The sequence below is a fragment of the Homo sapiens genome, chromosome 10 (assembly GCF_000001405.40).
Source record: "Homo sapiens chromosome 10, GRCh38.p14 Primary Assembly".
In the NCBI taxonomy this organism is placed as follows: Eukaryota; Metazoa; Chordata; class Mammalia; order Primates; family Hominidae; genus Homo; species Homo sapiens.
Window position 1 is genome coordinate 90,465,405 of NC_000010.11, and position 27,302 is coordinate 90,492,706.

Below are 27,302 nucleotides of genomic sequence, written 5' to 3' on the forward strand. Positions count from 1 at the left end.
CAGAATCTGCTGGGCGCAATGGCTCATGCCTGTAATCCCAGCACTTTGGGAGGCCGAGGCGGGCGGATCACGAGGTCAGGAGATCGAGACCATCCTGGCTAACATGGTGAAACCCCGTCTCTACTAAAAATACAAAAAATTAGCCGAGCATGGTGGGGGTCACCTGTAGTCCCAGCTACTTGGGAGGCTGAGGCAGGAGAATGGCGTGAACCTGGGAGGAGTAGCTTGCAGTGAGCCGAGATCGCACCACTGCACTCCAGCCTGGGCGACAGAACGAGACTCTGTCTCAAAAAAAAAAAAAAAAAAAAAGAAAAGCAGAATCTATTTACCAGACTTTGCTCCTCTTTCCTCTGAGCCAGGACATCTTTTAAACCTGACACAATAGCAAAGCTTGTGCCATGTTGGTCAAATCATATTAGAAGGGGAAACTAGAAATGAGAATGTGCATGAACTCTGTGCTTAATCTAGTAATAATTTCATTTTAACCAGAGAAACGTTTCTTTCATCCCAGGTCATTTACTCATTCAGCGTCACTAGTGGGACCTTCACAAGGCAAATGCGCCAGTGAGTTGCACTCTAACAAGGTACACAGCTGCTAGGAAGGGAGCAGCCAAACCTGCCATCACTGACTGCAGTGTTCCTACTGGACATAGGCGGCATTGGGAACATACTGGCAATGTGGCAGGGTAAAGGGTTGGGTGAAGGGTGAGAGCTTGAAGACTCAGACTTTTCTAATGAGGCCAGCAGCCTCACCTCTGGCCACTTTACAGCACACCTTCCTCCTGGGAATTCTTCCCTAGAGCAATCCACAGACTTGCTTTCGCAAAGCTTGAACTGTTCTTTTTTTTTTTTGACAGAGTCTCACTCTGTCGCCAGGCTGGAGTGCAGCAGTGCAATCTCGGCTCACTGCAACCTCCGCCTCCCGGGTTCAAGCAATTCTCCTGCCTCAGCCTCCCGAGTAGCTGGGATTACAGGCGTATGCCACCATGCCCAGCTAATTTTTGTATTATTAGTAGAGACAGGGTTTCACCATGTTGGCCAGGGTGGTCTCGATCTCTTGACCTTGTGATCCACCCACCTCGGCCTCCCAAAGTACTGGGATTACAGGCATGAGCCACCATGCCCGGCCTTAGCTATTTTTAATTCACAAAAGCACTTCCTTTGGGGTGGTATGCCAGCCAGATCTGCAAGACTATACTGTAAATACTTGTTTTAGCCTAGTTTTATTTCATTTATTTTTAGCTGCTTCATCTTTCACTTTTTATATGGAAAGGAGGAAGTGCCGGAACAAGGGAAATGGTTTAGAGCAGAGTTCTTGACATAAATATAGAATACAAAATGTCTTTTATTTCTCCAGTTATCTCTGCATGGGTCATTTCTATCTGAGAACACAGATGTTCCAGACTTAACTTTAATGGAATCCTAAACTGAGAAAAAAAGAAACAAAGCAGAAAAGCAGAAAGCAGAAAACAGAAAGCAGAAAGCCATCCATTTCCAAAACATGTTCCCTTGAAAGGGCTGTGGAGCACTGCCTCAGCACAGATACACCTCTGAGAAATCCTACAGATGAAACTCATTTTGACATTTTCTAAGCAATTTTTAATTGACTTAATTTTTTTAGAACAGTTTCAGATTTACAAAGTGAGAAGACAATACAGAGAATCCCCAAATACTCCCAGTTTCCCCCATTATTGACATCTTATATTAGTACTGGCAAACTCGCTCCTCAACCAGTCAGGCTCCTCTAAGTCCTCTTCTCAACTAGGCTTTGACCTTGAACTTAAATGTCTGTCCTTGTTTGGCCTGTATTGTCCAGTTTTAGCAGGAATCCTGTTAAGTCAGTTTAGAAAGAATCCTCCACTTTTGATGTCTGATCATTCCTAATATCTGGCCAAATTTCTTATCCCCCACCTTTAGCAAATGATCACCCTGGTATGCTTTCATCAAGAACCTGTAAGATCAGTTTAGCGAGAATATCTCCTTACTGCTGATGTCTCCTCTTAGTAAGCCACCCTGCTCCTGGGCTACGAATCCCCACTTGTCCATGTCGTATGGCATGGAGTAAGCCAGTTTTATACTGAGGGCTCTTTCTCCTATTGCAAGGGTTAGCACTTTAACTATTGTCCAACTCTACTTTAATATAACAGTGTGGTGTATTTATTATAATTAATGAACAAATGTTGGTACCTTATTATTAACTAAAATCATTTACAACTTTATTCAGATTTTATTCATTTTTACCTAATGCCCCCTTCCTATTCCAGGATCCCATTCAGGATACTACATTAGACTTAGTTGTCATCCTCATTAGTTTACTCTTGGCTGTGACAATTTTCCCCACTTTGTTTTTAATTGCATTGACAGTTTTGAGAAATACTAGTCAGGTATCTTGCAGAATGTCTCCCTACCCTCCCACTCCCTCATTGAAATTGCCTGATATTTCTCTTATTATTCAAATAGGATTACCAGTTTTGGGGAGGAAGATCACAAAGTGACATTTTTATCACAGTAAATCAATGGCACATGCTATCAACATGAATAACTATTGATGTTAACTTGATCACCTGGCTGAGGTAGTGTTTGCTTTGTTTCTCCACTATAGTTACTCATGTGTTCTCCCTTTCCATACTGTACTCTTTGAGAGGAAATCACTATGTACAGTCAGCAGTTAAAGAGTGCAAATTATGCACCATCTCCTTAAAAGCAGAGAATCTATATAATTTATTTGAAATTCTTCTGCATGGGAGATGTTTCTATTTTCCTCTAATTTATTTTATTCTATCATTTACTTATCTTAGTATGGACTCATGGATTCTTACTTGATACTTTAAGTTATAATCCAATATTTATTTATTTTCTTGCTCACAGTTTTTCATCTTTGGCCTTTGGAAACTTTCAGTTGTCATCTATATCATTTGACATACATCTATCAGTGTGGATTTTTGTTTTGTTTTGTTTTTGGGGAATTTCTTTACTTTGTGGCACTACTAGATACTCTGCGCTCATCTTATATAATTTCTGCCCCAGTCTTAGAATCAACCCTTTCTCTAGGGAGCTCTTTTTTTACTTGGAGAATGATATTAGAAACCAAAATCTGAGACATATGGAACTAAACAGAGAGCACCAAAATAAATGCACACATATGTGGTCAACTCATCTTTAACAAGGGCATCAATAATATACAGTTGTGAAAGGATAGTTTCTCCAGCAAACAGTGTTGGGAAAACTGGATATCCATATGCAGAAGGATGAAATTGGACCCTTATCTTAAACCATAAAAATACAAACTCAAAACAGACCAAAGATCTAAATAAATCCATAATTCAAACTGTAAAATTTTGGGGAAAAAAATAGGAAAAATGCTTTATGACATTAGTCTTGGCAATGATCTCTTGGATATGATACCAAAAGCACAAACAACAAAGGTAAAAATAAACAAATGGGATTATTTTAAACAAAAAAGCTTCTGCACAGAAGAATTAATCAACAGAATGAAAAAGCAACCTACATAATGGGAGAAAATATTTGCAAACTATATACCTAAAAAGGATTTAACAACCAAAATACATAAGGAACTCCTACAACTGAATATCAAAAAATAAAATAAAATAATTCATCAATTAAAAAATAGGCAGAGGATAAAACCAAAAATATACTGATTAAAAAACAGGCCAAGGACTTCAATAGCCTTTTCTCTAAAGACAAACAAGTGGTCACTAAATATACAAAAAGATGCTCAACATCACTAATCAAGAAAAGACAAATTAAGACCAGAATGAGACATCACCTCACTTCTGCTAGGATGGCTATTACAAAAAAAAAAAAAAAAAAAAGTGTTGGTGAGAATGTAAAGCAAAGGAAATCTTTTCACACTCTTCGTAGCAATGTAAAGTGGTACACTGTTATGGAAAACAGTATGAAGGTTCTTGAAAAAACTGAAAATAGAACCGCCATATGATCTAGCTTATGAGTATATATCCAAAAGAATTGAAGTTAGTATGTCAAAGAGATACCTGCATTCCCATATTTACTGCAGCATTATTCACAATAGCCAAGATATGAAAACAACCTAAATGTCCATTGACAGATGAATAAAGAATGGACAGATTAGATAGATAGATAGATAGATACATAGATATATAGATAGATAGATACATAGATACATAGATAGATACATAGATGGATATGATAGATGATAGATAGATAGATAGATAGATAGATAGATAGATAGATAGATAGATAGATAGATAAATGATAGATAGATAGAGCAACACTATTTAGCCTTAAAAAATAAGGGAATCCTATCATATGCGACAACATGGATGAACCTGGAGGACATTATGCAAAGTGAAATAAGCAGTTACAGAGGGACAAATGTGCATAATTCCACTTATGGGAGGTACCTAAAATAGTCAAACTCGTAGAAACGGAAAATAGAATAGTAGTTGCCAGGGACTGGGGGCAGGGAGAAATTGAGAGTTACTGTTTAATGGGTGAAAAGATCTGGTGCACAACATTGTACGTAGAGTTAACAATACCATATTGTGCACTAGGTGTACTCATTGGTACTGGAGTGTCAGTTCTTCTAGGACCACTCAGCTGACAAAGCAAGTAAATATATGTGTGTATTCTAATTTGCGTCTGTGCCTATCTCTATATGCAATAAGTTGCATCTACATTAACTAAACATCACTTCATACTAGATGTCTCCCACTCCAAACTAGTAACACATGGCTCATTCTAGCTTTCTTCCCTTGCTTGTCTAAACTCCCACTCTAACAGTGAGAAAACAGACTGCCACCATTCACCATTTGTATTAGTTTCCTATTGCTGCTATAACAAGTTACCACAAACTTGGTGGTTTAAAACAGCAAAAACTTTTGGTCTCACAGATCTGGAGGTCAGAAGTCCAAAATCTGTTTCACTGGGCCAAAATCAAAACATCTGCCTGGACACACTCACTCAGGAGGCTCTAAGGGAGAACCTGCTCCTTGCCTTTTCCAGCTTTGGGTGGTGGCCACTATTACTTGGCTTTTGGTTACATCACTCCAATTCTGCTTCCGTGGTCACACTGCCTTTTCTTCATCTGTATGTAATCTGTCTCTCCTTCTCTCTTATAAGTATACCCACAATTATTACGTTGGTCTTCCCTGGATAATCCAGGATAATCTCCTCATCGCAATATCCTTAACTTGATCACACCTGCAAACAGACTTTTTCCAAATAAGGTCACACTTACAGTATTAAGTATTAAGGTCTGATATCTTTGGGGGCCATTGTTCAGCCTACTGTACCATTCATTTATTTAATTATTAATTTTCACTGTACATGTGTCAGTGACAAACAAAGCCAGAAACTAATTAAGTTTTTAAGACAGATTTATTTAAGACAGATTTATTCAGTCATAACTACTGCAATAAGGAAGAGAGTCCAGCATGAATTGAACTCAACTTCGATTTGTGCAGAGGTGATTGGCCATTTTAAAGGGAATAACCGAGGGAATAGGGAGGGAAAAAAAGCAGGGCTCCCACAGAATCCATGGAACAGAAATTTTTTAAAAGCAGGAATGAGGGGTTGGTCAATGTGATTACGCCATGTGGGTTTGCTAACTGGCCCTTATTAAAGTTAGGCTTCTGCCTTCTCACTGAGATTGGTCTTATCTTTAAGTACTGGATGAAACAGTAAATTGTTTTGACAGCCTTGATCTTTCCCAGACAAGAACTAAATGGGGCCAAAGTCATTATCCTAGGGACACAAACTTGACCTATTAGAAACTATGCTAGTGTTTGTTTACATCTCTTAGTAGGGGAGAAGAAGGAGGTGGATTAAGTAATTTGAGCTGAAAGTCTGCAGATTTTATAGGCCTAGTTGAGAAGAGAGCTCTGAGGAGCTTGAGTAAAATGTGATTAAGGAGAGAGTCTTTGTCATGTATATAATAGCACTGGAAATGTTAACCTGTACCCTCGTGGGAAACAACTTTACTAACTAGAGCTACATTGCATATGCTTATTTTTTACTTGGTTTTACAGATTCTATCATTTCCAAAATTAGTTAGGTGTATCTTTTCCCTTTCACCACCTTCAGTAAGGTTGTTTCATATATTTGTTATAGTTAATTTCCCTTGTTACAGTCTGCATTTTCATCTAAGATTCTCAGTCTCCTAAATGATTTTTGCTTAGTTGAATACATTAAGTTTCACTCTTTGGGCTATAAGGTTCTATTGGTTTTGAGTGATGTATACTGTGATACATTTATCATTACATTATAACACAGCACAGTTTCATCACAGTAAAAAATGCCTTGTGCTTCACCATAACTCTCCACCACTTCCCTGACCTCCTGGCAACCATCTCTAGATTCCATTACTATTTTTAGAGTTTTTTCTTTTCCAGAAACTCATATAATTAGAATAATATAGTAAATATAATATGTAGCCTTTTCAGACTCACTACTTGACTTAGATACAGGAATTTAAGTGCTTTCCATATCTAATGTGGTTTGGCTGTGTCTCCACCCAAATCTCACCTTGAATTATAATAATCCATACACATCAAGGGCAGGGTCAAGTGGAGATAATTGAATCATGGAGGTGGTTTTCCTCATACTGTTCTGGTGGTAGTGAATAAGTCTTACAAGATATGATGGTTTTATAAATGGGAGTTCTCCTGCACAAGCTCTCTTGCCTGCTGCCATGTAAGATGTGACTTTGCTCCTCATTCATCTTCAGCCATGATTGTGAGGCCTCCCCAGCCATGTGGAACTCTGAGTCAACTAAACCTCTTTCCTTTATAAGTTAACCAGTCTTGGGTATGTCTTTATTGGGAGCATGAGAACAGACTAATACAATGCCTTTTCTTAGCTTAGTAGCTGATTTATTTTTTCACTGAATAAAATTTCACTGTATGGATCTACTCCCATTTTTTAATAGAGTCATCTATTGAAGCACATCTTGGTTGCTTCCAATTTTGGTGACCATGAATAAAGCAACTATAAATATGTGTAGGTTTTTGTGCATATATACATTTTCAAGCCAGGAATGTAAGTGCTGGATGGTGTGGTAGGTTTATGTTTAGCTTTGTAAGAAAATGCCAAAATGTCTTCCAAAGTGGCTGTGCCATTTTCTATTCTCATCAATGAAAATAAGAGTTCCTGTTCCTCTGCACCCTCCCCAGCAACTATTACTCTCGGGTTTTTTCATTTTCGTTTGTTCAGATTGTATTTTAGCCATTCTAATAGGTGGGTAGTGGTATATATGATTGTTGTTTTAATTTGAGATTTCAGTAATGAATCTTTTCACTTGCCATCTGTATATTTTCTTTAGTCAGGCGTCTGTTGGATCTTTTGGCAATTTTTTTAATTGGATAATTTGTTTTCTTATTTTTGAGTTTTAAGAGTTCTTTGTATATTTTGGATACAAATTCTTTATCAGATATGCATTTTAAAATATTTTCTTCTAATCTGTAGCCTGTGCTTTATTCTCATAACAGTGTCCTTCACAGAGAAGAAGTTCTTCATTTTAATGAAGTTTGACTTACTAATTTTATCCTTTATGGATTACACTTCTGGTGTTGTATCTAAAAACTCATGGCCAAACCCAAGATTACCTAGATTTTTGCCTATGTTATCTTCTAGAAGTTTTATAGTTTCTCAATTAATATTTGGGCTGGTGATCATTTTGAGTTACTTTTTGGAAAGGAGTAAGGCCCGTGTCTAGATTCTACTTTTTGCATGTAGATGTCCAGTTGTTCCAGTACCATTTTTTAAAAGACTTTCCTTTATTGAATTGCCTTTGCTCTTTTATTGAAAACCAGTTTACTATATTTTGTGAATCAATTTCTGGGCTTCCTACTCTGTTTATTTACCCATGCGATTCTTTTACCAATACCACACTGTCTTGATTACTATAGCTTGAATGTAAGTCTTGAAACTGGGTAGTGTGAGTCCTCAAATTTCATTTTTCTTCTTCAGTATTGTGTTGGCTATTCTAGATCATGTGACTTTCCACACAAATTTTTGAATCAGTGTGTCAATGTCTACAAAGTAGCTTGCTGAAATTTTCATTAAAATTTTATTAAATCTATATATCAAGTTGGAAATAATTGATATCTTAATGATAGAATCTTCCAATCCATAAAAACAGAATAACTCACCATTAATTTAAATCTTTATTTCTTTCATCAGTCATAATTTTCTGCATGTTTTTTTAGATTTATAGCTAAGTATTTCTTTTTTGTTGTTGCTTTCATAAATGGTATTTTAAATTTGTAAATCCAGTTGTTTATCACTGTTATATAGGAAAGCAACTAACTTTTCCATATTGAAAAAAGCTCAACATCACTGATAATTAGAGAAATGCAAATCAAAACCACAATGAGATGCCATCTAACAACAGTCAGAATGGCTTTGTTTGTTTGTTTTGAGAGAGAGTCTCACTGTGTTGCCCACACTGGAATGCAGTGGTGCAATCTTGGCTCACAGCAACCTCCGCCTCCCAGGTTCAAGCGATTCTCCTGCCTCAGACTCCCAAGTAGCTGGGACTACAGGTGCCCGCCACCACATCTGGCTGATTTTTTTTTTGTATTTTTAGTAGAGATGGGGTTTCACTATGTTGGCCAGGCTGCTCCAGAATGGCTATTATTAAAACATAACAAAATAAGAGATAATGGCAAGGTTGTGGAGAAAAAGGAAAAACTATACACTGTTGGTGGGAGTGTAAATTAGTTACATCATTGTGGAATACAGTGTGGTGATTCTTCAAAGACCTAAAGACAGAAATATCATTTGAACGAGCAATCCCATTACTGGGTATATACCCAAAGGAGTATAAATCATTCTATTATAAAGCCACATGCAGGCATATGTTCATTGCAGCACTATTCACAATTGAAAGACATGGAATCAACCTAAATGACCATTGATGATAGACTTAATAAAGAAAATGTGGTATGCATACACTGTGGAATACCATGCAGCCATAAAAAAGAATGCAATGATGTCCTTTGCAGGGACATAGATAGAGCTGGAGGCCATTATCCTTAACAAACTAACACAGGAACAGAAAATGAAATGCTGTATGTTTTCACTTATAAGTGGGAGCTAACTGTTGAGAACACAAGGACACATACAAGGGAACAACACACACTAGTGCCTTTTGGAGTGTGAAGGGTGAAAGGAGGGAGAGGATCAGGAAACATAACCAATGGGTACTAGGCTTAATAACTGGGTGATGAAATAATCTGTACAAAAATCACACTTAACTCAAGTTTACCTATATAACAAACCTGCATTTGTACCCCTGAACTTAAAAGTTAAAAAAATAACCTTTTGCATATTAACCTTGTAACCTGTGGCCTTGCTAATCTCACTTAATTTTTCCGGCTTTTGTTTGTTTCCTTGGGCTTTCTACGCAGGCAATCATGTCTTCTGTAATAAAAGAGAATTTTATTTTTTCCTTCCCAATATGTATATTTTTCTTTCTTTTTGTTGTCTTATTATTCTAGTTAGCACTTCCAGCGCAATTTAAATAAGAATGGTGGGAGGAAACATCCTGTCTTGTTCCCACTTGTAGGGGGAAAGCATCCAATTTCTCACCACTAAGTATGATGTTAGCTGTAGGACTTTGGTAGATCATCTTCTCTTTTTAAATTTTGTTTTCCAAATTTATTTGATCATGAGACCCTTTGTTTAAAGTACATTTATTCATACTTTAATGAATAATAGTGTTCCATAAAACAGGAAAAACTTTATTATAGTAATACTTGTTCAGGAGTAACAGATCAAATATGTCCTCAAAGAAAAATGATATTAATCCTAGGGAAACATGAGGAAAAACACTGGAATGATGTGACCACCTGGTTGCCAAAACAATTTGAGCTGGTACATAAATATCAGGTGTTTAATACCCATGGTTTCTAACCTTTATGTTCACTTCGTTCATTCATTCATAAAATTTTTTGTTGTTGTTGTCAGGATTAATGTGAGCTACAGGGTTACAAAGATAATAAGGCATAATTATTGCGGTGGAGGAATGCACAGTCTAGTGGAGAAATGGAAATTGATTAGTACCTAAGCAGTCGACTCCCTTGTATGAAAAAATATAAGCACCTGAAAATGTCTTCCCAGGGAGGACTTTTCAGGATAAGCATCTCTATGAGTCTAATGCAAGAATCACTTAGCTTTTACTGGGGCTTTTTTTGGTCAAAAAAATTTTAGACATAGAAAAAACATTTTTAAAAAATAAATCACCCATCATCTACCACTTAAGAAATAAAAGATGATGAACGTTTTTGAAGCCCATGTGTACACCCTACAAATGTATTCAAATTCCTCTCCCTCACTGCAGGTAACTATTATTTGAGTTAGGTATTAATCTTTTCCATGAATGTCTCTATACTATACTACATGACCATGTATTCCTAAATAATATATAGTATTTTGGCACAATTTTTAGATTGTATATAAATGATACCATAATGGATAAAGCCTTCTACAACTTGTTTTCTTCACTCTATATTTGCAACATCCATATTGAAAATAGTTCTAACTTATTGTCCCCACTGAATAAAGTTCTGCTGTATTAATATAGCACAATAAATGAAAATAAATCCATTCTCCCCTGGATGACATTTAGGCTGTTTCCACTTCACTGATATTTCAAAAAACACGTCATGAACATTATTACACATGCCTCCTGGGCATATGTGCCAGCGTTTCACTCAGGTATATGCCTAGAAGCAGAACTGCTGCCTGGAAGGGGACATGTAAATTTATCTTTACTAATTTTTGTCAAATTGCTCTCCAGAGTGGTTGCTTGGTTTTTATTTCTATTAGCATTGGACAAGTTCTCATTTCTTCATGTTTTTGCCAACACTTTGCCAACTCAATAGCTGCAAAGTGCTACATGTTGTGGTCCTTGTTATTAGAGAAGTTGAGCATATTTTCATGTATGTGTAAGCCACGTAGTTTTCCTCTTCTGTGAACGTCCAGTTCATAATCATTGCCAGTTTCTCCTTTGGGGTTATTTATCCAACTATCCTAGATGCTAATTAATACTTTGATAAATAGACTGCAGATACGTTTCCCAGTCTATACTTAACTTTTTGCTTTGCTTATTTGTATGTTTTGATACAGATAAGCATTTAATATTATTTCATCAAATGCATTACTCTTTTCCTCTGTGGTTTATTCTTGTCTTGGTTAAAAAATCCTTTTTGGCACATAGTTCATAAAGATGTAAAATAATTACTATTTAAATATAACCTTATATTTAAATATAATCTCATATTTAAAGCTGTTAAATGATGTTTTCAAATTTAGGTTTTATTTCACCTGAAATGGATTTTTTTGGGTATGGCTTATTTTGAGCTATAATTATATTTTATTCTAGGGACTAACTTATTTTCTCCAGGCACTTTATTAAGATGCCTATTTTATCCTAACTGATTTTCCAAAAAGAACTATGTCATATTGTCATATATCAATTTTTCATGTATGTGTATATTTATTTTGGCTTTAAAAGATGCAAAAAAATTATTTATTAAGTGACAATTTTATAGCTGTCCTTTTGTGGCTTTGCAATTTTTAAAAATCCAAATAACATTATCATTCTCCTTTTATTCTTATCAAGAAAAATATGAACAAATGGGTGAGTGCCAACATGAATTGCCCCAGAAATTCCCCAAGGCCAGGAAACTTACTTTACTTCTTTACTAATCTCTATATTTTTGTAAGGAAATGTTCTATGTTTCAAGAATTTCTTCACATACCCAGACAGAAAATATCAGTATGCGTGTATCAGTCTCAGTTCACTCAGGGAAACAGAGTCACTGTGACACAGAATAAGGGGGTTAGTATAGTGATTATGACTTACCCAGATTTGAGTGTTGCTAAGGGAGTGAAGGTCTTAGAAGGAACTGAAGCTCTGGCACAGGTGAAAAGCCAGAGCTTATGGAAAAGCATATGAAATTCCATGCATTTGGCTACCAAAGTGAGAATGCAGTGTGTGGGGTTATAAAGAGGTCAGCAAAGCTGCCATGTCTGTCAAAGCCACTGAGTCTGACCTCGACCCCATCTGACTGCCATGACCTACTGAGAATAATGATGCCTGCTTTACTTCTGCCTCCCAAATCTCATATCTCTCTCTCCAATTGAAGGAGATATGGGGAAGCATAGTCTCTAGCATCAAACAAGAAGAGTGCTTGGTGCTGGTGACAATCCAGAAAAATGGGCACAAGTCACCTTTGCAGAGTGGTCATTAGTATAAAACATTTCATTCTTCTACAAATACAACCAACTCAACATATATTTTTTGCCAGAAAGTTTACCACAAATAAGACCTTTTGATTTACCTTATTTCACAAAATGTGCTCAGTCTCAAGATATCATTAACAATACCAATAAAGAATGTAAAGTATACAGAAATAACCCCAATAATAAATGCATAAAACGTTTCAGAGAAAATGTTCTAACTATATTAAAGGACATAAAAGAAAATTTGAATAAATTGGGCATTATGCCATGTTTATGCATGGGATAGTTAATATGGGATAGAGGTCAATTCTCTCCCAAATTAATCTGTCAGTTCAACACAATAGTAATAGAAAGTACAGCTGGAGGCATTTAAAAACTCATTCTAAAGTTTATATAGAAGAAAAGCCAAAGTATAGCTAAGTCAGGCCAGGTGCGGTGGTTCTTGCCTATAATACCAGGACTTTGGGAGGCTGAGGTGGGCAGATAGCTTGAGCTCAGGATTTTGAGACCAGCCTGGGCAAGATGGTGAAACCCCATCTCTACTAAAAAGTACAAAAATTAGCCAGACGTGGTGGTGCACATCTGTAGTCCCAGCTACTCAGGAGTCTGAGGTGGGAGGATCACTTGAGCCTGGGAGGCAGAGGTTGCAGTGAGCAGAGATCACACCACTGCACTCCAGCCTGGGCGACAGAGCAAGACTATGTCTCAAAAAAAAAAAAAAAAGTATAGTTAAGTCAACTTTGAAAAAGTAGACTAAGACAAGGAACTAACCCTACTAGAAATTAACATATATTACTAAACTATAGCAATTCTAAAAAGAGATATGATACCAATACAGAAACAGAAAATGGATTTAGACTAATAGGTTAATAAAATGCAATAGAAGAAATAGAAATAATCCCTGCACATATGAAAACTTTGATATATGATAAAGATAGTCCCACAAAGCAATGATGAAGGAATGGATTGTTCAGTCGACAATGTTATGAAAAAGTAGATATGAAGAAAAATAGAGCTGGACTTTTACATTTTAACAGCACACCAAGTGAGAAATAAATGAATTAAAAACCAAACGTAAATATCAAACCACCAAAAAACAGAAGAACATGTAAAATAACATATTTTTGATCAAATTTGTAGGTAAACATTCTAAAATAATTATTCAAAAGGCTATAAGTTTTAAAAATGGATTTGACTACATTAAAACCAAAGATTTCCTAAAGTACATAATAAAATAATGGGTAGATTGGAAGACTTGGAGAAGATATTCGCAACCTTTAAAACTAATAAGAAAATAATATTTAATTATAAAAATAGATCTCTTGACAATAAAGAAAAAGTAAACACAATAGAAAACTATAAGAAGCTCACCTGACTAACAAGGCCAGAAAAAGATGCTCAAAACACAATTAGTAGAAAAAATGCTAGTTAAGTCAACAATGAAAAAATCAATGTGTATTTATTGGAATGGCAAAAATCAGGAAGATGTGTAATATCTAATGTTGGGAAGCCATGGACTTGAACACTGGTGCACTGCAAATGGGAACAATAATTAACTGATCCTGCTGGGCCAGAAAGAAGTATGCCAGTGTTCAGAAAAATTAAGTATATGTATGACTTATACTTAAGTATAAGTATACTTAAGTATAAGTATAAGTATGACTTATACTTAAGTATATGTATAAGTGGGACTCGGTGATCCCACTGCTGAATATCCATCTCCCAGGAAAGTTCTCTCAGAGATTCATAAGGGCATACACTCAAGCATGTTCATTGTGACATTGTTTATGGTGATGGAAATAAAGGGTATGTTCAATATTTATTTTTAGGGTGAAAGATTTGTAAAATGGAATTGTATGCCATGGAGTACTATGCAGCTCTAACAAGCAACAAAGTAGATGCATATACAATAATGTTGACAGATCTTAAAAACATTGTAAGAAGTGAGCAGAGTGTGATTTATAGTGCAAAATTATGTAAATTAAGAAAAAATCAATACCATATATTTTACAAGAATATATATTTAAGAATACATAAATATAAATACATATATGTAAGAATATAAAGCAAACACATTAGATAGAAAAAATAAAAAGTCATAAAACTTTGCATGAATCCATTATGATAATGTGATATGTACTGAAGACTATTATGAGTTCCATTATCTGCCCCAATATCAATAGTTAAAAAAAAAGAAAAAAAAATTTTTTTTTTTTGAGACAGAGTTTCACACTGTCACCCAGGCTGGAGTGCAATGGGCAATCTCAGCTCACTGCAACCTCTGCCTCCTGGGTTCAAGCGATTTTCCTGCCTCAGCCTCCCCACTAGCTGGGATTACAGGCACCTGCCACCACACCAAGCTAATTTCTGTATTTTTAGTAGAGATGGGGTTTTGCCATGTTGGTCAGGCTGGTCTTGAACTCCTGACTTCAGGTGATCCACCCAATTTGGGTGCTGGGATTACAGGTGTGAGCCCCTGTGCCCAGCCAAAAAAAAAAAAAAAATTTAAAGTGCGTACATATACCTTAATCCTGTGGGTTCTCTGGGACATACTACACAATGACAAATACCTTCTGGTGCAAGGTTAGAGACCAGAACACATGATTGGATCTAATCTAATAATATTTCTCTCATGTTGGATTTGATTTATTATTTACAACAGACCAAGATTTTAGAGAATTAATTTCCCCATATTCAAGTTTATAGGCTGCTTTAATCCAGTTATAGTTCTTTGTAGCATAACAGAGGCAAAGATGGATTTGCTAATCCAGCATAATTGAACAGTACTGCTTAGCAGAGTTCAATAAAGGCTGTCTCCTGTGAGATACACAACACTATTCATCCCCCTATGGATGAGATTATCTAATAAAACATAATTGATATGTGCCTACTTTTATTCTGATGTTTGGTCATATCCTGACAATATTTTTCTTCTTTCCTGGTCTATTGTATCCAGTGACTGACTGCTGAAGGTCTGAATGATGAAATTAGTCATTGGTGCCATCTTAAAGAAACTCATCACTGACTTCTCCCTATCAGTCCTTCTTACTCACTTCTAGTAGGGAAAACCCAGGCAGAAAAAAAAATGGCAGAGACTGGTTGTACAACTGACTTACAAAGTTAAATTTTCTTTAATGTTTTTGTGTTCAATGAAGACAGTCTCTTCAAAAACTAATTGCCACTAAAACTTAAAGAAAATAATATTGGCTCAGCCAAAAGAAAAAAAAATAGTCATGAAAGTTCCATTCTATCACTCACCAGTCAGAAGACAACTGGAAGAACTTCTCTCAGTTCTTGAAGTCCATTTTTTAAAACAATTTATGCAAAGTGCTATCTATACAAACAAAAATGAACATGATGGTATTGAGAATGGAAACCAAATCAGAGCTAAGGCATTGGTACCGGGGAAGAAGACTTCTAATATTTAGGAGTGAACAGTTTTAAAATGCAGGTGTTTGGGTTCTGCCCCTACCAGGGTCTCCAAAGGTCTGTCCCATTTACAAATCTCACATGTTCTCTAATAAAAATGGGTTTGTTTCAGTCTTCATGGTAGATTGCAAGGAAGATTTAGTTATCAGATTAGATGCTGTACTGACACCTTATGGACCCCTGCAGCTTTGACTTTCAGGGCATCTGGGGAAATGTTTTTAATGGGTAAAGGGAAATGAAGATATTCTCTTCAGTGAAAGGCATACGCACTGAGTTTTCAAATTACCGCTTTCTTGTGGTTCCAGGTGGAATTAAATAAAAAGGAGTTTTCACCATCATTCTGGATCATTTTATTGCTAGCTTGACTCTATTGGACACATATTACTAAGACTTTAATATCTGCAAAAACCCAAGAACACAATATCAGAATGAGTCACTATTTGTTTATGGCAGAGGCTGCTGCTGAAAGCCCCAATCAGAAGTGGTATTTTCAAAGCGGGGGCTGTGGTTGAAAAATGTTCAGAGTGTCTATCTGAAATTGTTTGATTCCCCTGCCCCCCTTTTTTTTAAATGAGCTGAGAGACTGTCTACAGCACCTTGAGATTGAAGCTTAAGTACTGCAATCACTCCAAGTGAGTGATCCATGCTTTTGTATCAAAAACATGAATACAACTATATGCCTGATGAAAAGATCATGCCATTTTCCAACTGGTTTATTCATACTGAATACATATGAGATGGAAAACAAGATTTATGTTAGTGACAAAACCACAGAGAGACAAGAGAAGTGCTATTTCTGGATACCTCTCAAGAAGAGGTTGCTCTGAAACGCAAAGTCTCTTTGCACAGCCATTACCAAAGACAGAAGCTCTGAGGGCATTTTTCAAACCAGGAGGGAGAGCAAGGGTCCCAGGCACTGTTAACCTGAAGCCCAGTGGAACTTATGGGTCTAGCTTGCAGGGTCCTTTCATCTATGCCAAACCATTTGCAGGGCTCGCTTTTAATCTGGCACCCCTCTAAATGTATTTAATTAATTGTCAAGGTTGAAAGTATCCAATATGTCAGTTTTTATGAGCAGTCAACCAAGGAAGCAGCTCTTGGTTTCTTTATATGTGCCAGGCAGCAACTCAGCAACGGTGGTCTCCATCATTTTGCTAATAGAACACTTCTATTTCTAAAATAATAAATAAGTATCTAAAACATAGAAACCAGTAGGCCTTTACTTATGCATTCATCTGTGGGAAGAAGTAAGGCAGCAGGAACAGAGAATTCCCCATTCAGGTACTGCCCAAGCCAGAAAATGTTTCTGTTTTTCTTGGTTGTGTAATGGAACAGTGGTTCTCTTTAGAAGTAGTATTACCCTCTAGGGAACATTTTAGAAATCTGTAGGGGAGATTTTCTTTTTAATTGTCACCATGATTAAGAAACCCTAAAAGTGTTTATAAGTCTGGATCTGCAATGAGTTGGAGAGTCTCACACATTGAAGAATTACAGCCTGCTCAAATTTTTAATGTTTCATAGGGATTTCTTATGGTTGTGAAAAGCTTAATAATAACCCAAGCCAAGAAACATATTGCATTATATGCATAAAAACAAAGTATATTTTATATCGTTTTAATATATATTGAAATTTTTTGGAATTCAACTACCACGAAAATAAAAGGAAGAGAGTTCTTTAAATGGTTTTGTTCAGAGCCTTGCAGTAATTCTGTTTCAGAAAATCATGACAAGGACAGCAACTCTCTTCCTGGTATCATTCTGAATGACACCTGTCATATCCAAAATGGCTCTATCTTTAATTATACACATCTGACTACTTCATTTATGCATTGTAATACATGTTTGATGTTAAATTATTTTATGTCTCCTTAGGTTACAGTTTGGGCATCACGTTGTTTGGGGATAGAATTATTTTGTCAGGTGAATGTATTGCAAATATTTTCTCCAAATTTTGGGCTTATCTTTTTCTTTTAAAAAAAATTTTTCTATGCTATCTAATTTTAAGCATGTGCATGTAGTATTGTTTCCTTTCTTTTATTTATTTACTTATTTTATTTCAACAGGTTTTTGGGGTACAAGTGGTGTTTGGTTACATAAGTTCTTTAGTGGTGATTTCTGAAATTTTGGTGCACCCATCATCCAAGTAGTGTACACTGTACCCAGTGTGTAGTCTTTTATCCCTCACCCTTCTTCTACCCTTTTCCCAAGTCCCCAAAGTTCACTGTATCATGCTTATGCCTTTGCATCCTCATATCTTAGCTCCCACTTATGAGTGAGAATATACAATGTTCGGTTTTCCATTCCTGAGTTACTTCACTTAGAATAATAGTCTCCAACTCCATCCAGGTTGCTGCAAATGCCATTATTTCATTCCTTTTTTATGGCTGAGTGGTATTCCATGGTGTATATTTATATATATTAATCACATTTTCTTTATCCACTTGCTGTTATGGGCATTTAGGCTGGTTCTATGTTTTTGCAACTGTGAATTGTGCTGCTATAAACATGCACATGCAGTGTCTTAAGCGTCTTATGTCATAGAATGACCTCTTTTCCTTCGGGTAGATATCCAGTAGTGGGATTACTGGATCAAATGGTAGTTCCACTTTTAGTTCTTTAAGGAATCTCCACACTGTTTTCTGTAGCGGTTATAGTAGTTTACATTCCCACCAGCAGTGTAAAAGTGTTCCCTTTTCACCAAATCCACGTCAACATCTATTGTTTTTTAATTATTTATTTATTTATTTATTTATTTTATTATGGCCATTCTTGCAAGAGTCAGGTGGCATCACATTATAGTTTTGATGTGCATTTTTCTGATCATTAGTGATGTTGAGCATTTTCTAATATATTTGTTGGCCACTTGTATATCTTCTTTTGAGAATTGTCTATTCATGTCCTTAGCCCACTTTTACAGGGGATTGTTTGTTTTTTCCTTGCTGATTTGTTTGTAGATTCTGGATTTTGGTCCTGTGTCAGATGTATATATTGTGGAGATTTTCTCCCACTCTGTGGGATGTCTGTTTACTCTGCTGATTGTTTCTTGTGTTGTGCAAAAGCCTTTTAGTTTAGTTAAGTCCCATCTATTTACCTTTGTTTTCATTGCATTTGCTTTTAGGTTCTTGGTCATGAAGTATTTGCTTAAGCCATTGTCTAGAAGGGTTTTTCCAATGTTATCTTCTAGAATTTTTATGGTTTTAGGTCTTAGATTTAAGTCTTTGATCCATCTTCAGTTGATTTTTATATAAGGTGAGAGATGAAGATCCAGCTTCGTTCTTCTATATGTGGCTTGCCAATTATCCCAGCACCGTTTGTTAAATAGGGTGTCCTTTCCCCACTTTATGTTTTTGTTTATGTTTTGTTTGTTTTGTCAAAGATCAGTTGGCTGTATTTGGCTTTATTTCCGGATTCTCTATTCTGTTTCATTGGTCTATGTGCCTATGATGGGGACAGGGTTAGGCATGTCTGAACTCAGACTCTCTTTGGTTGGGGCTTGCTGAGGCTGCTGTGGGGGATGGGGTATGGTTCTCAGACCAATGGAGTTATGTTCCCAGGGGGATTATGACTGCATCTGCTGTCATGCAGGTCTCCAGGGAAGTGGGGAAAAGCCAGCAGTTACAGGCCTCACCCCACTCCCATGCAGCCCAAAAGGCTAGTCTCATTCCTACTGCCCCACCCAACAGCACTGAGGTCATCTCCAGGCAGCAGGCATGCAGGACTGAGAACTTGGCCCAGGCTACCAGCGTCCTGGCTGAGAAAGCAGGGCTTTCAAGATTCGTGCCACCCTGTGCCTGCGGCAACTTCTGTGCTGTGCCTGCACTGGCTATTCACCCCCTCCCCCAGACTCCGTCCAGGAAATTTCACATTCTGTCAAAATTGTTACAAAGTTCGGCTAGAAGTTTTCTTCTCCCTGTGTTTTTTTCCCAGTTCCTCTGTCAGTCCTCCCAAAGGACCCCTGTAAGACAAAGTCGGAAATAGCTTCCCTGGGGACCAAGAGTGCCCACAGGGCTCTTCCCGCTGCTTCTTCTACCCCTGTATTTTGCTTGGCTCTTTAAGTTTCTCTCAACTCCAGGTAAGGTCATGTCCTACTCCTGTGATCTAGACTTTTAGGTTCCCCAGTGAGGGTGTGTGTTCCGGGGCAGACGACTGCCCTTTCACACTTTCACCCTTTCACCCTTTGGTCACTCACAGTGTTTTGGCTGTCTCCAGCGGCCTGCAGCAGCAATCCGCTTCCTTCAAAGGGTCTGTGGACCCTCTCAGCTTTCCTGGTATGTTCCTGCAGTGATTCTTGGAGCAAAAGTTCACAGTGTGAGTCTCCACACGCTGCTCTGTCTGTCCAAGTGGGAGCTGCAAGTTAATCCTGCCTCTTATTGGCCATTTTTTCCTCTCTTTTTATTTTCTTAACAGTTCCTTTTGATGAGCAGGTGATTTTAATTTTAGTAGAAAAGCCTAAATTATATTTCTAATATTTAGTACTATTTATGTTCTGTCAAAAATTATGGCTACCCAAAGTTCACAAAGATAGTCTCCTGTTTTCTTCTAGAATTTTTGTTGTTTCTGCTCCTATGTTTAGGTTTGTAATATATTTCAAATTAATTTTTATATGGCATAAAATAGAGATTGTGAGGGGTTCTGCATATGGATGTCCAGTTGTTTCAGCACTATTTATTAAAAATACAAAGCTTTTGCTATTGAATTACCTTGAAACTTATTAAAAATCAATTGATTGCATATGTGTCTCTACTTACAGGCTTTCAAAAAATGTTGTTGCTGTTTCTCCTTACACAAATATCATATTGTCTACTATGGCTTTATATTGTCTTAATGTTAGGTGGTAAGATTCATCTAACTGTATTATTTTTCAAAATTGTTTTTGCTAATCTAAGACCTTTGCATTTCCATATAAGTTTATGAATCATCTTGTCAATTTCTACAGAAAACCTTGTTGGGAGTTTGATTAGACGGCTGAGAAAGACAGCAAATCTACAGGGTGAGTAACATGGCTCTGGACTCAGGGTACCTGGATTCAAATGGCTACTCAACTGCTTACTATTTATGTGCCCTTGAACATCTGTAATCAGGATATTAATTACATGCCCCCTCTGTGATCAGAATAATTATAAAACATACCTTCTATGGTTGTTGAGAGGATTAAATAATTTGCATATACAATTGCCTACTGGAAATATCTAATTGGATACATTATAAACATTTCAAATTTGAAATATACAAAATCAAACTCCTGATTTTTCGCCTTTCCTAAACTGCTCCATCTACTGACTTTCTCATCTCAGTATACTACAATTCCATTTTACCTGTCCTCAAGATAAAAGCCTTATGGTTTCTTGTGCCAGACACCTTGAAATCAACCTTAACTCGTTGCTGTTTCTCATATCAAATATCCAAAATGTCAGCAAATCCTGTAGTTTCTACCTTTAAAGATACGAATCTGGCCGCTTTTTACAACCTCATTGTAACCACCCTGACACGCTAACCTGGATTATTGCAATAATTTCCTAACTGATCTCTGAGCTTCCACCTATGTATCCCAAAAATCTATTATCAGCACTGCATTCATTGCATTACTGTGAAGACTTAAGCCAGATCATGACACTTCTCTGTTCAAAACCCTCTTCAAATAGAAATACCTTCAAAATCTGTTCATAATCTCCTCCCAACCCCCATCATTATCTGACCCCTTCTTCTATGAACTTATTTCCTACCATACTATCCTAATACTCTTGCTGCTGCAGCCACACTAGTCTCCCCACTACTTCTCAATCATACAGCACAGTTCTTCCTTTGGATCTTCGCAGTTGCTTTTCCCTTTGCCTGGAAGTCTCTTCCCCGAGATGTTTGCATGGCTTGCTTCCTTACCTCCTTCAGCCTTTGATTCCGATGTCGACTTCTCAATCAGGACTTCCCTAGCCACCACATTGAAAATTATTTGTATATATTAACATATGCAATATTTCCTAACTTTCAAATTCTAATTTCTTCAAGTAATTTCCATCACTTTATGTATTATATAACTTAGAAATATATTTATTATATGTCCCTCTTCACCCTTATATTAATGGGTACTTGACTTGGGTATAAAGTCCATGAAAAAAAGGGATTTCTTATATGTTGTTCATTCCTATGTTCTAAGTGTCAAAACTGTGCCTGGCATGTAGCTGTTGAATAAATATTGAATAAATATGAATGAATACATGAATGAAATGAGATAATACACAAACGGAATTTAGCACAGTTCCAAGAGCTCAGAAAATTCTTAATAACTGTCAGCAATTATAATTTTAACATTTACACCTGTGTTCAGTTTCCCAGCTTTCCAGAGCATTAAAGCATGTTCTAAGTCTTGGAAGAAGGAGGAGAACTCTTTTATCTCTTTATCGTTGACAGTAGCACTACTTGCGTTCAGTTGGGCAGAAATGCCAGAATGCTCTGGAATTCCACAGGCTGAGAGTTAGCTGTACCTGTCCAGACTATTGCCTACCCAAGGACATGGCCAAAGATAAAAACTTGATTTACTATTCCCCTATCTTGAATAAAAACTCACTTCCAAATCCCATCAGCACCTCCAAAATGCTTTCTAATCACTCATTTCTCCAACTCCCCTTACCCTTATCTATACGGTACTCCCACACCCATGTCACAGTCTGGTGCTTTCTATGAGTCCCTTTCACCAGGTAAGTCTATTTCTTCAAGTCAGGGAATAAAGAACCCAAGATATACCTCCAAAACAGGCACTTGTGGAAACAATAGTTGAGCAACAGCCTTAAAATGTATTTCAGTGGCAGAAAGTCAACTAAGTAAATAGGTAGACTCTTCATTGAGCCAAAAATTTTTTGGGGGAAGGAGTTGAACCTAATAGAGTCACATACCTTTTCGCTACTGATTTCCCTTTGTTATTTATATACTTCCATGAAAATTGTAAATAAGACCAAATTAAACATTTTTCCTAATATATTTCCCCAAATCGAAATCTAAGTACATAAATTATTTTCAGACAATTGTGTTACCTCCAGAACTCAGAACTACAGAAATTCAGACTTATTATTAATGAAATCAGAGTATAAAGTTCTCGCAGACCATATGAGAGGAACTTCACTCCTACAATGCAATTCCAGAGCTATAAAATATTATATTCAGAGATCACCTGCACCGCCTTCCCCACTTTACATAAGAGGAATTCAGTTCTCCAAGAAGTAAAAGACCTTGACCAGGGTCACAGAGTGAGCTAGCAGCAGAACAAAGACTAGAAATGGGGGGTTTCAGCTTCACGCCTGCACTGCTCCCTCATGACCTAGCACCTGTTCAAACCAGGTACTTTCCTTATTGTGAGTCCTGAATATTGAACACTATAATTGCACAAGGATATCTGAGTTCATATAGGTTACAAAGACTTAAGCAATTTAATTCAATTTGATGAAAGAGTTGCAATGACTTTCCACCCTATGCAAGACCAGAGAGAGAGAACCCATAGACAAAACAGCATGCCCTGGATTTGGTTGAAAGGCCTCCACAAATCTGAAGCAGCACATCACTTAGAACATTACTAGCTGTAACAAAGGAAGTGCTTTCTTTTGATTATGTTAAGAGAGCAGGATCTAATCCACTTCATACCTGTGATGATAAAGCACTTATTCAGATAAAGAAAGAATAGTACTTCATGCCAGATTCATTTTATCAGGATAGAATACAAACAATTCCACAGAATCTGACATATAGTTCTTGTTATGTTAACCTGATGGCTCTTGATACAGAAATATTTTAAGTTATAAAATTGTTATTACATACTACACTGCTTCATAATGGAGAGCTATCAGGTATCTAATAGCAATTTTAAAGGGCTTAGATTTTAGTAGCAAGATCATAATCCAGAATCCAGAGACAAAGAATAATAATTTCATATGCTTTCCCACAAAAGCTCTTGTATGCTCTCCTCTACCTGAGTTTTTGGAAGCATGTCAAGAATGGCTTTCCCAGCAGAGGAAAAAGTGATTGCTAAGCTATAATTTAGGGCAACAACACAACTGAATTTCAGCAGCATATACCATCAGGAATGAGTTTTTTCTTCCATTTAATTCTGTAAGCAAAGGCTTCTGTCAGTATTAATTCCCCATAATAATTATGATTACTTGATAAGCTAAAAACAATCAGGAGGATTATTCTTACATGTGATTGAGGTAACCAAGCTTATGTATTACAGGAAAAGCAAGAATAAATACAGTGTACATTTTTTCAGGTATGGGTCTAAATTACATCTGGGGATCAAAAAATGAATAAAACACAGTCCTCACTCATAAGGAATTCAAGCCTAGTTGAGGGACATTGGTGTGTAAATAACAAGTGCTATTCTCTACTGGGAAAAGCTCAGGGTCTACAGTCATACAGATCTGAAATTGAATCCAGCTTTGTGGCTTATGATCTGGGAGACCTTAAGCAAGTTACTTAGCCTCTACTAGGCTTTAGTTTTCTCATTTAAAAACCAGTGTACCTCCCTCTGAGGTACTGTGAGGAGTAAAGGGGATAATGCCTAGAAGGGACTTAGTACTTCTCCAGGTATTAGTATGTAAGATTACCTTATTATACAAGCTGCAAATACATAGGTACTATCAGAAATATAAGCAATGTGCCATGAAAGCAATTTATTCAGTCTAATGATTAGACCTCTGCTCTGAACTACACATGCCCTTTATAAAACCAGCACAGATCAAGTGTGTTTTATGAGTTATGTTTTAGACATTTTGGAGCAATAATCATAAGGTTATTACTATTTCAGATCAAAGTGCAAAGGCTATGCAAGGGGTAGCCATTTCTCTGAAATTGCCATCTCCAGGACTGATTCAGGAAAAAATACAAATCTATTATCTGCTTTGCTAAAAGAAAATTGTCTAATGAAAGTAAATCACCAGGAAACCCAATTTACTCTACAGTGAAATTTGGCTTAAAATTAATCTTTCTTATACCTAGGCAAAGAGTTTTCTGGCAAAACTACATGGTTTCTTGAAGAAATAGATTCACCTAGAAGTCAGCATGGACCCCAAAGACAGAGTTATTTTATACCTGTGTCATCTTGAACTATCATGCAATGACTTTTTAAAAATAAACTTTTAGAGCAGTTTTAGATTTACAGAAAAATTGCAAAGAAAGAAAATTCTTGAATACCCCCCACCCAGTTTTCCCTAATGTTAACATCTTACATTAGGATGGTGTTAATCGCCATCCTAAAGAAACAGGATGAATCCCTGCCCAAAATTTGATTTGGATGTCAAGACCAATGATGTCACACACGCACACACACACACACACACACACACACACACACACACCCCAAGAGGTTATGAAAATCTTTTCTATAATGGGATGTTTTTGAAAAGAGCAAGGGAGCCTTCCCAAAATGGTTCCAAATGGCTTAAATAGCCAGAAAAGGAGACAGGCTTGAGATTTTTTTAACTGATACATAATAATTGTATATGTATATGAAATACATCTGACATTTCAATTCATGTCTATGATGTGTAATAATCAAATAAGAGCAATTGACATAATCATCACCTCAAATATTTATCATGTCTTTGTGCTGAGAACATTCAAAATCCTCTCTTCTAGCTATATTAAAATATAAAATAAATTTTGGTTAACTATAGTCACCCTCCTATGCTACAGAACATTATAACTTATCTAACTATAATTTTGTACCCATTAACCAACTTCTTCCCATCCTTTCCCCCTACCCTTCCCAGCCTCTGGTGACCACTATTCTACTCTCTACTTCTATGGGATCTACTTCTTTAGCTCTAATATATGAGTGACAACATGTGATACTTATCGTCTGTGCTGGCCTATTTCAATTAACATAATGTCCTCCAGGCTCATTCATGCTATTGCAAATGACAGAATTTCATTCTTTTTATAGCTAAATAATATTTCATTATGTATATGTACTAGATTTTTAAAATTCATTTACCTGTCGATGGACAGTTAGATTGTTTCCATATCTGGGCTATTGTGAGTAGTTCCGCAGTAGCCACAAATAAAGATCCTGCACAAAGCCTTAGTGCTCTGAAAACATCCATAAATAAAACCAATTGACTCTACTCAAATTACACCGCCGTTAAGGGCACATCAATCTTCCTAGATAAGAAAGAAAAAGCACAAGAACTTTGGCAATTCAAAAACGCAGAGTGTCTCCTTACCCCTTATGACCACAATAGCTCCCCAGCAGTGGTTTCTAGCCAAACAAAAATGGCTAAAAAGACAGACAAGAACTCAAAATCTCAATGAAGTTCATCAAGATTCAGGAGAAAGTTGAAACCCGATTTAAGGAATCTAGGGAACCCAAGAAAATTATTCAAGAGCTGAAAGATCAAATAACCATTAAAAAAAACTGATCTGATGGAGCTGAAAAACTCACTACAAGAATTTATAATGTAACTGAAAATATTAACAGCAGAATAGACAATGCTGAGGAAAGAATTTCAGAGCTCAAAGACCAGTTATTCAAATCAGCTCAGACAAAAATGAAGAAAAAAGAATAGAAAAGAATGAAGAAAACCTTTAAGAAATATGGGATTATGTAAAGAGACCAAACCTGCCACACATGTGTGTCCCTGAAAGAGACGGAGAGAGAGCAAGCAACTTGAAAAACATATTTGAGGATGATGTTCACGAACATTTTCTCAATGTCACTAGAAAGATCAAAATTCAGATTTAGGAAATTCAGAGAACCTCTGCAAGGTATTATACAAGATGACCATCCCCAAGACAGTAATCAGATTCTCCAGGGTCCAAGTCCCATAGAAGTAGAGAGTAGAAAGAAATAATATTAAAGGCAGCTAGAGGAAAGTGGCAGGTCATCTACAAAGAGAACTTCATTGGGCTAACAGTGGACCTTTCAGCAGAAACCCTACAAACTAGAAGAGAATGAGGGCCTGTATTCAGGATCTTTAAAAAAAGAAATTATAACCAAGAATTTTATATCCAGCCAAACTAAGCTTCATAAGTAAAAGGATAAATAACATTTTTTTTTCAGACAAGCAAATGCTAAGGAAATTTGTTACATCAAAATATCCCTTACAAGAGGTCCTAAAGCAGTGCTAAACGTGGAAACAGAAAACATTACAGCCACCACAAAACACACATAAGTACATAGATCATTGACACTATAAAGCAACTACACAATCAAGTCTACATAACAATTAGCTAACAACATAATGACAGGATCAAATCTGTACATATAAATATTAACCTTGAACATAAATGGGCTAAACATCCCACTTAAAAGACAGGTAGTGGCAAGCTGGATAAAGAAGCAAGACTCAACTGTACAATGTCTTCAAGAGACCCATCTCACATGCAATAACAACCATAGACTCAAAGTAAAGGGATGGAGAAAGCTCTATCAAACAAATAGAAAAGAAAAAAGGGCAGGGGTTGCTATTTTAATTTAAGACAAAACTGACTTTAAACCAATGATTATCAAAAAGGACAAAGAATGGCATTACATAATGATAAAGGGTTCAACTCAACAGGAAGACTTTACTATCCTAAATATACATGCACAGAACACTGGAGCACCAAAATTTATAAAACAAGTTCTTAGAGAAGTATGAAGA

At 36.5% G+C, this 27,302-nt stretch overlaps 1 long non-coding RNA gene across 1 annotated transcript in view, besides 1 other annotated feature; it reads right to left on the bottom strand.

Moving 5' to 3' along the window:
• Positions 1-27,302, bottom strand: part of LINC02653 (long intergenic non-protein coding RNA 2653) — a 138,285-nt gene that overhangs the window by 62,884 nt on the left and 48,099 nt on the right. The gene's annotated exons all lie outside the window — the stretch shown is intronic.
• Positions 18,817-20,016: an enhancer, noted in NCBI's record as "BRD4-independent group 4 enhancer chr10:92243978-92245177 (GRCh37/hg19 assembly coordinates)". NCBI's record gives its function as "activates an origin of replication core promoter dependent on BRD2, P300/CBP, MED14 and CDK7 cofactors, and independent of BRD4, by STARR-seq in HCT116 cells {active_cell/tissue: HCT116}" and the evidence as "EXISTENCE:reporter gene assay evidence [ECO:0000049][PMID:35650434]".